A 13,163-nucleotide genomic window follows, 5' to 3' on the forward strand; every position below is an offset into this window, starting at 1 on the left:
TATTAGAGATAGGGTCTTACTTTGTTGCCCAGGCTGGAGTGCAGTGGTGTGATCGCGGCTCACTGCAGCCTCCACCTCTTGGGCCCAAGCAATCCTCCCACCTTGGCCTTTTGAGTAGCTGGGACTACCAGCTAATTTTGAATTTTTTTGGAGAGACACAGGTCTCCCTACATTGCCCAGGCTAGTCTTGAACTCCTGAGCTCAAGCAATCCTCTCACCTCAACCTTCCAAAGTGCTGGCATTTACGAGCATAAACCACTGTGCCTGGCCTTACCACGATTTTCCATCTGGGAAAACCGAAGCACAAAAGGGTTAGGTGACTAGCCTATGTTCATACAGACAGTAAATGGCAGAGGCAGGATTTGAGTCAAGCAGACTGGAGGCAAGGTCTACACCTTTAACCACCACCCTATACTAGTGCATTGCCTGAATAATTAAGTAAATCTTTGAATTTAAAGTTACTCCCCAAAATATTAAGTCACCCAGTTAACTAAAGTGTTCAAAGAACAAAGAGATGATGCTTTTCATTTCAGCAGAGTTCAGAAGACTTCTTAAGGCCAAGACAGGTTAGGAAACTAAAATATATACTCTAAAAAGAAGAAAAAAGGAATTAAGCAATGTGTGGCTTCTCTAACCCAGTATTTCCATTTAATGGTATTAATGCCCATATTTACTTGGAATAAATCTAGCTTAATTTGTCAATCTATTCATTTAGTCCGGGTTTTAAATTGTTAGGAGGCTAGTGAACTGAAGTGTCTAGAAAAGGCTGTCCTGGAAACAGTGCTCACATATATACTGGACTTTACCAAAATTTCACTGTTCTATATATAACTTCCAGCATTTTTTAGCAGAATCAATTTTCTTTCTAATAAAGCAAGATTGTTAATACACATAAAGCTGATATGTAAAATTTTACCTCTATTTCAGATAGAAGCCAAAGTAAAACATGAGGAATAAAAACATTTATCTATGTATTCAGAATCACACACAAGTTACCTTTACAGTTCAATTTACTATATAGAAATCATTGGGTTTTATATTTGCAGTTAACTTTTGAACTGAGATTACAATATTATAACAAAAAACTTTACATTAATTCAGAACTTTTTAGCATACCAAATTGAAATACATAGGTTCAAATTTCAGATTTATGGCAAACAGTCTTCAAATACAATACAGACATTTCTTAAAAGTTACCGTATCATTCACATGTGATATTTGCAACTCTGAGCTATTTCTTATAGAACAGCTCTCCTGCAGATATGGCAAAGTTGATATGCCATGAAGTTCAAGGCCTGTATAGTCAAGCCAAGGACTCAAAGTTGCACCATCTTTAAAAAGGTTTGGCATTTCTGGACCACAACAATGCACAACATGTAAAGAAGGTAGGAAACAGTTCCCCCTCCTTGTTAAATGGTTAAAAAAAGTTACATGGTAGCTTGGAATTTTGCATAAAACCCCATAATATACCTTGGAAAAGTCCAAGGGCAATTTGATGGCAATGGATTGGGGCCCTATATATATATATTTTTAATAGAACCCATGAGATTTAAATGGGCATTAATCAAATCAAAAAATATTAAGCACCTACTGGTTTAAGAGATTTAAATTTATTAGAGATTCATGATCAATTTCTTTCCACCTCGAAATCAAGGTGTAAAAACCAGCTATTAAGTGCATTCCAAACTTCTCCTATGTAGCACAGGTAGAATTTTCTGTCCATTGGCACCAAAGTGAAGTCACATTTCCTCTTGGGAGACAGAAATTCCACACCTGAACACAGAGTAAGTTAGGAAAAAATGACCCCTGTTGTTTATTACTATTGTGATTCTGAGATCTAGGATTTCTAATATACTAGCAGTAAACAAAGCAAATTCCTGGCAACAACTGTCAGGTTAGTGATGCTAACTCCCTTCCCCCAACCACCATAAAATTTTAGTAAGAAAAGAATTAAAAGTAATGACTAAGCAGAACAAATTGGAAATAACAAGAAACTAAGGGGACAGTTCAAACCAACAACAAAAAATCCTAAATTTGAAATCACTGCAACTGAAGATAATAAGTGTGCTTCACCCCAACCCCCATCCCAACTCTGAATTTAAACATTCCGTGCAAAAGAGCAACAGGTTTCTGGATAAAGATGTAGCCCTTCTTTAAGTTTTAGTGCTCTGCAGTTTTCTGCAATTTTATTTCCCTCCCCCCAAGTTTATTCAAAGTATTTAACAGAATCTTCCATTTCAGCCAAAAGATTGTGATTCAAAGATTTACTAAGGTACTCTATGCATTCTATCTATACAGAAACACCTATTTATTATTACAGTTGATTTATGCAGGATTAACATTTTTGGTGTTAAAATTGTTAAACATCATGCTTACTGCACATCAACTCTCCATAATGAATCTGAACTTCACAATGATTTACCAAACACTTTACTTAAATTACTAATTAAATAAATGAAAAATGCACCGAGCCAAACAAAACTTAACTGGGCTATAAAGAAAAAAACCCTTCAAAACAGTCCATATACACATCTATTTCAAAACTACCTTTGCTAGCTAGCCCCTTTCCCAAAGTTTTAGCCTGAAAAAACAGTAAAATCTACACAAAATTTTATTGCAATCATACAAGGGTTACATTAGGTCAACAAATACTATGATGCAATTTTACATTTATTAAACTACAGTTCAAAGCACAAATTTACACATTCTAAATACACTAAACGTTATCTAATGAAGTCACACTGGTCTTCTAACATTTGATATATCTGGGTGAAAGACATGAACTTTACAAGACTTTAAACACAAATCCTTAGTATAAAAACTGTGTTCTTGTATGTAAACGATTTAATGGGGAACCCAATTAATGGGCTTCCATCTCCACTAAGTCATCCATTTTGTTGCATATTTTATTTTAAACGCTTAAGGGGTAGGACAAACTGGTAGGTTTAAATCTGGATACATTATCTAAATCTCCCATTATCCCCAATGAATTATAGATGAAAGCTGATTTTGTCTGGTCCCAAATAGCTATTACTAATAGTTTTTGTTGCCAAAAGAATTAAGAGAATAAGATTGTTTAAATTATTTTTCCACACTGGAATGTTGACCAGACAAGCTTAACCTGCAACTTCAGATCTAAAGAAGCGTTAATGCCTGTTTAAGCTTCAGCGGAAAAGCTGTCTTCTTGGCTCAGCTGAATGCAAGAAGGCACAAAGAAGAAGTTCTTCATCATTGAGTCTGAAGTAATTCCAGCATCTTGCATCTCATACCTACGTAGAAAAAAAATCAGCTAAATTCTCAGTTTAAGCCCAAAGACCACGTAATCACATAACAAATGGATAATAAAACAGGATTATAACTAGTCTTCCAAAAACCTTTAAAAGATCATCATTTTTCTATGATAGTCATGCACTGCAGAGTGATGTTTTGGTCAAAGACTACACATATGACTGTGGTATACCGTAAAATTACAGTGAAGTTTAAAAAGTCCTATCACCTCGTTACATCGCAGCAATCATGTCATAGCACAATGTATTATCCTTTCTATGTTTAAGTAACTTAAGATACACAAACGCCACTGCATTACAACTGCCAACAGTATTAAACAGAGTAACATGCTGTACAGGTTTGTAGCCTAGGATCAATATACCACATGGCCTAGATTATGTAGTAGGTTATGCCATCATACAATCGCCTAATGTTGTATTTGTCAGAACAAATTCCCATCATTAAGTAACTACACTGTATAGGCAATACATGACTGTACTTCTAAGTTTAGCATTCATTACAGAATTAAAACTTATTAGCAAGTCTAAAAGGACAGTTCAAATATCCCATCTGCCTTAAAATAAAATCACCTTACCAATCACTGAATGACATCATGTAATAAATGGCTGGCCTCTGAAAATCATTAAAAGCAGATGGTTCATGGAAAGAATCTGCTCCCATGTTATCAAAGATAAGCCAATCTCCCACATTCAGCTCAGGAAGAAGACAGCTTTCCACAATTTGATCAAGCTCATCACAGGATGGACCCCAAAGGCTGCTTGTAAACAGAGGCTCATCTTCCTTGTATTTCTGTAGGAAAAGTTTTACAATTTAATTTTTACTCATACTTACGCAGGTATTGAATTTGTGAGTAAATAAGTATTTTCACTGTCTCAGATCCAATGTGCTCATGGAAAAAAGGCCTAGAGCCAAGGGCAGGGTGCTACTTAAGCCTCGATGGTACCATTAACTCCACGTAAAGGCAACAAACTAAAAAAGGGACTCCACCAGAAGAACGCAAATCCTCAAAAAGGACATTTTTCCCCATTCTAAGATGTTTTTCAAAAAACTGGGAAGCATCTTAAAAATAACAGCTCAGCTTATAAAATGCCAAATAGGTTTTGATATTTCTGATAAAACTTGCCTTGTGAACCTCTGGAATGGTATTTAAGTCCTCAGACAGTTTACTTGCAAAAGAACCATAAACACCATCATTCATATAATACATGAAGGCTGGTTCATCACTTCCGGTTTTTTCTACTGGAATAAAACAGGAAAGGGGAAAATGAATTTTTAATAAAATGGCTCATATGAAACAAATTAATGTAATTTTCACATTTCTCAAACTATTTAAACTTAAAAAGACACATAGAGCACGCATTTCACAAAGGAAGATAACCAATGAGCACAAGAAAAGAGTGCTCTAGGGCTGGATGCGGTGGCTCATACCTGTAATCCTAGCACTTTGTGAGGCTGAGGTGGGAGGATCACTTGAGGTCAGGAGTTCAAGATCAGCCTGAACAACATGGCAAAACTCCATCTCTACTAAAAATACAAAAATTAGCCAGGTGTGGTGGTGCATGCCTGTAATCACAGCTACTTGGGAGGCTGAGGCACTAGAATCCCTTGAATCCGGGAGGCGGAGGTTACAGTAAGACAGTGAGACAGTGAGCCAAGGCTGTGCTACTGCACTCCAGCCTGGGTGACAGAATGAGACCCTGTCTCAAAAAAAAAAAAAAAAAAAGAAAAAAGTATTAAGATTCTAGAAGACTTTCTGATAGTTGCTGTTTCAAAAAAAGAGGAAATGAAGCAGCAAGGAAAAACACTTTTTAGTTTCTTTTCAAATCAGCAAGGGGAAGGCAATATATGCACAAGGAGTTAAATATGTGTTTGAATGTAGAATTAAAAATAAAAGTTGAGATTGTGCCACTCATTCCAGCCTGGATAACAGAGCAAAAACCCTGTCTCAAAAACAAAAAAAAAAAAGAAAAGAAAAAGAAAAAGAAAACAGTGCTCTACATCGTTAGTCATCAGGTAAATGCAAATTAAAACCACAATGGACTACCATTACCACCAACCTACTGACTGGATCAACTTAAAGACTGACACTACAAAACATCAGAGAGCAGGAGGAGCAACCAGAGCTCACATGTATACACTGCCAGTGGGAATCTGTGTGTGTGTGTAGAGACAGGGCCTCACTGTTACTCAGGCTACAGTGCAGTAGCGTGATCACAGGTCACCGCAGCCTCGAGCTTCAGGGATCAATAGATCCTCTCACCTCACTTTGAAACCTTTGAAAACGCCCATTCTACTCACAGCTACTCTACTCTTAGCACAACCAATACTAATTTTCAGGTTTTTAAAATATCACTCTCCACGAAAACAAACCAAGGCTCCCTGGAGAAACAACTGATTACGGGACTGAGGCTCATTTAAAAGGTTAAAATGAGCCTGGAACATCTTGATATACCAAAAAATAACGAATTGCTCTGAGAATAATGGAGACATGTCAAGGGAAAAATAAGAGTAACAGATTATATAAACCTATTGAATAAAGATCTATGAGTCTAAACTCATAAACAGGAGGGAAGGAAAAGATATTCTTTAAGTAAAGGCCAACTAATATAAACAATAATGAAGTTAGAAATTCAACAATAGATGCTAAAACTAATGGGGTGAAAATCTGGTTAAAAACAGGTAGTTTACAGAGTCTCTAATTTAAACTTGCCACTTCACAATGGAAAGAAACCTGCCTGACACAACCTTAAACAAGTGCTCAAAACTAGCATTTAAATTAAAAAAAAAAAAAAAAATCTAGCCGGGTGTGGTGGCACGCACCTGTAATCCCAGCTACTTGGGAGGCTGAGGCAGGAGAATTGCTTGAACCTGGGAGGTGGAGGTTGCAGTGAGCTGAGATCATGCCACTGCATTCCAGCTTGGGCAACAAGAGCAAAACAGTCTCAAAAAAAAAAAAAAAAAAAAAATCATAAGGCCAGGTGTATTGACTCAAGTTTGTAATCCCAGCACTTTGGGAGGCTGAGGCAGGTGGATCACTTGAGCTCAGGAGTTTGAGACCAGCCTGAGAAACACGACGAAACCCTCTACAAAATAAAAATAGAAAAAAACCTAGCCAGGCATGGTGGCATATGCCTGTAGTCCCAGCTATGCAAGAGGTTGAAGGTAGGAGGACTGCTTAAGCCGGGAGGTGGAGACTGCAATGAGCCCTGATGGAGCCACTGTACTCCAGCCTGGGCGACAAAACAACAAGAAAAAACACCTAGCATCATCAATATTAGAATTGGCCACTATCATGTGCCTCCTAACATGATGAAGTGAGAAGAACAGAGTAACACTTTAGTGGACTTCATGCCCCAAATGCATAGCCTAAAAAATTAATCATGAGGAATCATCCAACAAACCCAAACTAAGGATCAGCTATGAAATTTCTACTCTTCAAAAATGTCAAAGTTAAAAAATACAAAGTAATGAGCTGAGAAACTTTATCTAGATTCAAGGAGAAATGACGAATTCAATGTGGTCCTGGACTGGATTCTAAGCAAGGAAAAACAAAGCTGTAAAAAAAAGACAATATTGGGGAAATGGACAACTTTCCTATGGGCTGTGGATTAGTCCACAGCCAAAAAAAAAAGTCTTCTTAATGTAAAACAGTATTTCCTACAATATTAGCCAACAAGATGGTACTGTCTAGTGCCTTTTTGTTGGTTTGACTTGAGTTAGATTACAGGGACTCTTTGTGGCCCTTATGTGAGAAAGTGTGAAAACAGAGCCTCCCTCTGACCCATGTGAGGTAAGGAGAACAGAAAAGATCACAATAAAAGTAGTTCTGAATAATGGATGAGAATTAATCATCTGCTAGACATTTATCTAAAACACACGTATCTAAACATCAGTACCAAGAAAGTTGGATTTGGAAGTCTTACGGAATGGGACCTTGGCTTTAAGATTTTTTTTTTTTTTGAGACGGAGTCTCACTCTTGTCACCCAGGCTGGAGTCCAGTGGCACAATCTTGGCTCACTGCAACCTCTGCCTCCCGGATTCAAGCGATTTTTGTGCCTCAGCCTCCCGAGTAGCCGGGATTACAGGTGTGCGCCACCATGACCAGCTAAGTTTTATATTTTTAGTAGAGATGGGGTTTCCACCATATTGGCCAGGCTGGTCTCGAACTCCTGACCTTGTGATCCACCTGGCTCTGCCTCCCAAAGTGCTGGGATTATAGGCGTGAGCCACCACGCCCGGCCAGTTTTAAGATTTTTAAAAGCTGAAAACCACCTACAACTTCATGACCATCTGCTCATTTCCAGACTAACTGCAATTATCTACCAACAAAAATAAAACTATAAACTTTATAACTTACCTCCAGAGGGAAATTTATCATTTTCAACAACTTTCTTTGCTATGATATTAACTGCGAGTGTAAATGCAGAAGACACATAGTAGCTTCCGGGTTCTGAAATTATCTTAACACCAGATCCTTCAGGAAAGTAGATATCCAACAGAGGGCTGATAACATGATTAACCTATGGATTTTAAATGCCACAGTATGGTTTCAATATTGGATTAGATAATTCGCAATATTCAGAGATTGATATTAACAAAATTTTCTAGGAAAATGAAGCAGTTCCAATCACAGATCATGAACCTTAGCAACTTTGTAGTTATCTCCAAGCAATTAATTAGGCATGCTTTCAAGTCAGTTTATTTTGTAACTATCAGAATGGCATTAATTTTAAAAATAGCTCTAATAACAAATACCCACTGGTATTTGTTTTTGTTTTTTTTTAAGTCATTTTTCTATACTTGATCACTAAAAACAGAAGTAAAATTTTCAAATCATAGTTTCTAGATATCACAGAAGGAAGGAGGGCAGAGCAGGAAGGTGAGAAACAGGTGTGACGTGTATCTGGCCTAAATGCTAAAGTTGGCTGGGAGTGGTGGCTCACACCTGTAACCCCAAAACTTTGGGAGGCTGGGGCAGGAGGATCACTTGGGGACAGGAGGATCATTTGAGGCCAGGAGTTCCGAGACCAGCCTGGGCAATATAGAAAGACTCAATTTTTTTTTTTTTTTTTTTTTAAGTCCCAGCTACTTGGGAGGTTGAAGCAGGAGGATCGCTTGAGCCCAGGAGTTGGAAGCTATAGTGAGCTATAATTGCGCCACTCCACTCCAGCCTGGGCAACACAGGAAGACTTTAAAAAAAAAAAAAAAAAGGTAGTAGTGAAGTTTTCTAAGTATTAAATCATTTGTGCCATTAAGTACAGAAACACAACTGAAATAGAAAATGTTTTATGATAATGTTCAAAGAATTCTATCAAACTTTTCAAAGTTAGCTAGGTCTACTAACTGCCTATTCCTTTTCTAAGAACATAATTTTAAAGAGATGTTATAGGGTTTAGTTTCTGCCATTGTAAAAATCCTGCTCTACACATCCACCACTTAAGTAACAAAGAAAGCAATTATTCTGTTAATGTCATCTACTGAGAAGTTTACCTCTTCCAATTGAAATTCAGTTCCCGTGAATCCTCCACCAATGTCTAACATGTTCATCGTAAAGCCAATTTCTCCCTAGAGATGGAAAAAAAAAATTTAAATGTTTTTCCAAATTGTAATGGATATGAGAACATTTTAAAAACCCCCTCCTAGGGAGGTAAATATCTGTTCTGATCTTTAGTACAGCAAATTCTTGGTTTTTTACTGATAGAAACAGATTATTCAATGTTAGGTATGCTGTCTCTTTGATTTTATTTGTACTCTCTTCTAGACTTATGCAAGTAAATTACTATTTCACTCCTTTACCTGCTTAAAAGGTGTGACTGTACAGAGCTCTGAATGCTTATATAATAAAAATGAGGTGTGTGTCACGTTGAATGTAGTCAGAGTAATTCACACAGGCAGAAAATACTTAGTCTTTAACTTAACATCCTGGCTAAAATAAAATATCAAAATAACTTAAAAGAAAGAACTTACAGCCATGTCAAACACACATCGAGCATCAGATAGAGCATGTACATATACTTGAGATTCTTTGCAAGCACTCGAAACATGAAATCTGAAACACATAGAATACTAAATTTAAAGGAGCAGAAAGTTGTAGAGACACCTCCTGTAATTTCTTTCAACTGTCACTCATCATATTCATACCATTAAGTATCCCCATTAACTTTACCAAATATTTAAAGTATTAGAAGCATTAGCTTCTAATTACCCAAAAGTTACAGTACCAGCTTTATAGAAAAGGCAATGCCAAGATAAAACTGTAATTCTATAAACAAAAATTCTTAACAATAAGTCAATTATCAGTACTGTTCCACGGTTATACAATAAGGTGTGCTTTTATGTATATGTGGCACTTTTATGTTTATATAGTGAAGTAACAAGCACTACCAAATCGTATCACATTCAGTTGAGCATAAAACTGAACATTCAATTTTACCCAACCAAATACAAAAATGTGTCTGTTGTGAAATAAATAAAAATGAACATTAATCAAGCTGAGTAACAGCATTACTATTATTCACTAGTATTACTAGTGATAAAGTTTCAGAATAGAATACTTCCTGATTGTGGCAGTGGTCACACAAGTACTAAAATCCATAGAACTGTACCCGTAAAGTCCATTCTTCTTTTCCCTTCATCTATTCGAGATAGTACTTCATTAATTTTTATGTTGACTTAAATTAAAACTTAAAACTAGACTGACATGGAATGTTATCTATTGTGTAAGGCACAGCATGATCCCATTCTTTGTTTAAAAGACTACCACCTATTTATGTACAAAGTAGTATAGAAAGATACACAATAAGGCCAGGCACAGAGGCTCACATCTGTAATCCCACCACTTTGGGAGGCCAAGGCAGGAAGATTGCTTGAGCCAGGAGTTTGAGGCTGCAGTGAGCCGTGATCGTGCCACTGCACTCCAGCATGGGAGACAGAATGAGATACTATCTCAAAAAATAAATAATAAAATTAAAGAAAGATACACAATACATCTTTGTGAGTGTTTGAAAAAGCAAGACCTTTTTACTTTAGTAAAAGTAGCAATGGGCTGGCAAATAACATCTAGGGCTTAGTGTTACTATGCCTGTAATTAGTTCTGAGGCTATTATCAAGTATTTGAACCTCTTGGAGTCTCGGTTTCCTCACATATAAAATTAAAAGGCTAAAGCAAAGTCTAATTTATTGAAGTCCCCCAGAGTAATCGTTAAAAGGACAAAAAAGTCTGACACTTTTATTTTCATTAAGAATTCTAGCAAATCCCCTCCCATCCAATTTAAAAGGCGGCGATTTAAGTTACTCTGCACTAACTGAATCAAAATATTATTTGCTATTCTTTTTATTGTGGGGAAGGAGGTACAGTCACAAAACAGTATGAAAAGGGACAAGGCATATTTAAGTTGTTTTGCCTAAACTAAGAAGAAAACACATACATGTGTGTTAAAAGACTAGAAAAAATTGCATCTTAGATTTCATGCAAATAAAGTCTTAAATCAATAACCAGAAAGACAGGTTACCACCATAAAATGTTCACAGCTTTAAAAGTTTAAAACAAATACTCACTTAACCCCAATTATTTGGACATCAAGTTCCTTAGCACATTCCAAGAGATGCCTACAGTTCTTCAGGGTAGTGCCAAACTTCATGTTACCCTCTTCACCTCCAATATTATCTTCTGTTGCAATATGTAGTAAGACCCTAAGAGAAGGGGAGATGATTGGGGCAGAGTTGGTTTACATCATCATCAGCACATGTGAAGCCTGAAGATTGTAGGAAGTGTGTTGATTATGTTGCCAGTGCTCCCAAATCCAGCGACGGATGAATCAAGTGAACCTAATGAAAAACAATCCTGTATAGAGAAAAAACTAGCAATTAGGGCCTAAAGCATGAAGCTTACAAGGATGGGATTTTGGAAAATGCAGCAAGTTAAGACTCTGTTGTAGCATCAAGAGTTGGTTGGGCTCTGTAATGAAAGACGACATTACTTTCAAATGAAGTCCATCAGTCCATAAATCCACCTAGGAAGACTAAATTGAATAGCAATGCCATCATTGTCTTTCAATAAAAATATCAGGGCTTTAAATGTCTTCAAATTTCTTTGATTGTGCTAACTAGCTAAACCTCCATGGTTACTGCAAACATTCTTCCTACTAACATTGTTACATCCCAGCAGGTCTCTAACTGGAAAAAAATAGGAAGCATTTTTTAAATTTTTTTTTCTTTTTTTTCTGAGATGGAGTTTCACTCTGTCGCCCAGGCTGGAGTGCAGTGGCGCAATTTCAGCTCACTGCAACCTCCGCCTCATGAGAGTGCCTCCTGAGTTCAAGCAATTCTCCTGCCTCAGCCTCCCAAAGTAGCTGGAAATACAAGGGTGCACCACCACGCCCAGCTAATTTTTTTTATTTTTAGTGGAGACAGGGTTTCACCATGTTGGCCAGGCTGGTCTCAAACTCCTGACTTCAAGTGATCCACCCGCCTCGGCCTCCCCAAGTGCTGGGATTACAGGCATGAGCTACTGCGCCCAACCCAGAAAGCTTTTTAAAAAATTATTTCATGTGTTTAAACAGCAGCCTTCTAGTCTACTGATTCAAATCTATTTGGTATTTCCTTCCAAACCATGGCAACCAAGACAAGATGACTAAAACTGATTAAATTTCTTTAATTTCAGGAGCTGAGTAATTACAAACTGCTAGAAGTTGAAAATATACAAATTCTTTTTGTGTAACTGTTTTCCTATGGATGTAATAATTACATAAACTAAGAAGGTTAATAATATGGCCATGAAAATACAGCTATGGCCCTAATTTGATAATCAGAGGACAAGATTGATGAAAGCAAAAATTATTCTAAGGTTAGAATCAGCTCCATCAAGAAGATGCCAGTCCACAATCTAACATACTAAACATCACAAATCACAGCTTGTCTTCAGAGGATCACAGAACAATATTTTTTAGAAAAACAAGTGGTTCCCTAGAATTTTCCCAACAAGGCTTTTATCCACACAAAGATTTACCAGAGTAATCAATGCTGTCAGGATATCTTAAGTACACCATTAAAGTCAGTATGAAAATTATAGACATACAAAGAAAATACAGATAGAATTCATTTCCGGAAACACACATAACTCATTAAAAAGTAAGCCAACAACTGCATAATTCAATATGCTTTTAGCATATTCTTAAGCCCTCTCGATATACCAGTTTGTGAAAACATAAAATTTGCCTTAAATCTTTTTGCTTTTAAAAAAGTAAACCTTTTTATGAGGGAGTCTTGCTCTGTTGCCCAGGCTGGAGTGCAGTGGCTCGATCTTGGCTCACTGCAGCCTCCGGCTCCTGGGTTCAAGGGATTCTCTTGCCTCAGCTTCCCAAGTAGCTGGGATTACAGGCGCAGGCCACCTTGACCTTAAATGATCCACCAGCCTCAGTCTCCTAAAGTGCTGGGATTACAGGTGTGAGCCACTGCGCCCAGCCTTTAAAAAGTAAACTTTCTAATCAAGAAAAAAAAAAAATTCTCTGGATACATGAAGATGCAAGTAAAAAATTAAACTTCATGTTCAAAAATAAAAGTATTAGCCTTAAAAACAAAACCCCCCAAATCTATGGTCTAGGCTTCGAAGACACTGTCAGTAAAGATGACCATTCAAGAACTATGGCCTAGGGTAGATTAAATCCTCAGCTAAACAGGAAAAAATGCTGACCAAAGTTTATCCTGTTCCTAACGTTATCAAACATCAAACAAAGTTATAGAAATAATGAAAATACAGCCATGGCCCTAATTTGATTATCACACCAACTATCAAGGATTCCTTGAAGATTATTAGATCATATCCCCAAACTGCTCTTATTTTTTTAAATTCCAATTCCACATGAAGGATCAGAGG

General features: G+C 37.0%; 1 protein-coding gene across 13 annotated transcripts in view; it reads right to left on the minus strand.

Moving 5' to 3' along the window:
• Nucleotides 1–892: 892 nt before the first annotated feature.
• Nucleotides 893–13,163, minus strand: part of AZIN1 (antizyme inhibitor 1) — a 37,899-nt gene continuing 25,628 nt past the window's right edge. For 5 of the 13 annotated variants that reach the window (NM_001363010.1, NM_001363011.1, NM_001363012.1 and 2 more), the window contains 7 exons: nucleotides 10,847–10,981; nucleotides 9,257–9,338; nucleotides 8,780–8,854; nucleotides 7,647–7,809; nucleotides 4,412–4,524; nucleotides 3,863–4,077; nucleotides 893–3,269 (listed from right to left, as the gene is read on the minus strand). In NM_001363010.1, coding sequence (NP_001349939.1) covers nucleotides 3,158–3,269; nucleotides 3,863–4,077; nucleotides 4,412–4,524; nucleotides 7,647–7,809; nucleotides 8,780–8,854; nucleotides 9,257–9,338; nucleotides 10,847–10,981 — 895 coding nt within the window. In that variant the 3' untranslated portion in view covers nucleotides 893–3,157. Of the gene's footprint in view, nucleotides 3,270–3,862; nucleotides 4,078–4,411; nucleotides 4,528–7,646; nucleotides 7,810–8,779; nucleotides 8,855–9,256; nucleotides 9,339–10,846; nucleotides 11,133–13,163 lie in introns of all 13 variants that reach the window. The other 8 variants (NM_015878.5, NM_001363024.1, NM_001363083.1 and 5 more) reach the window with 4 other exon arrangements.

The sequence above is a fragment of the Homo sapiens genome, chromosome 8 (genome assembly GCF_000001405.40).
Source record: "Homo sapiens chromosome 8, GRCh38.p14 Primary Assembly".
In the NCBI taxonomy this organism is placed as follows: Eukaryota; Metazoa; Chordata; class Mammalia; order Primates; family Hominidae; genus Homo; species Homo sapiens.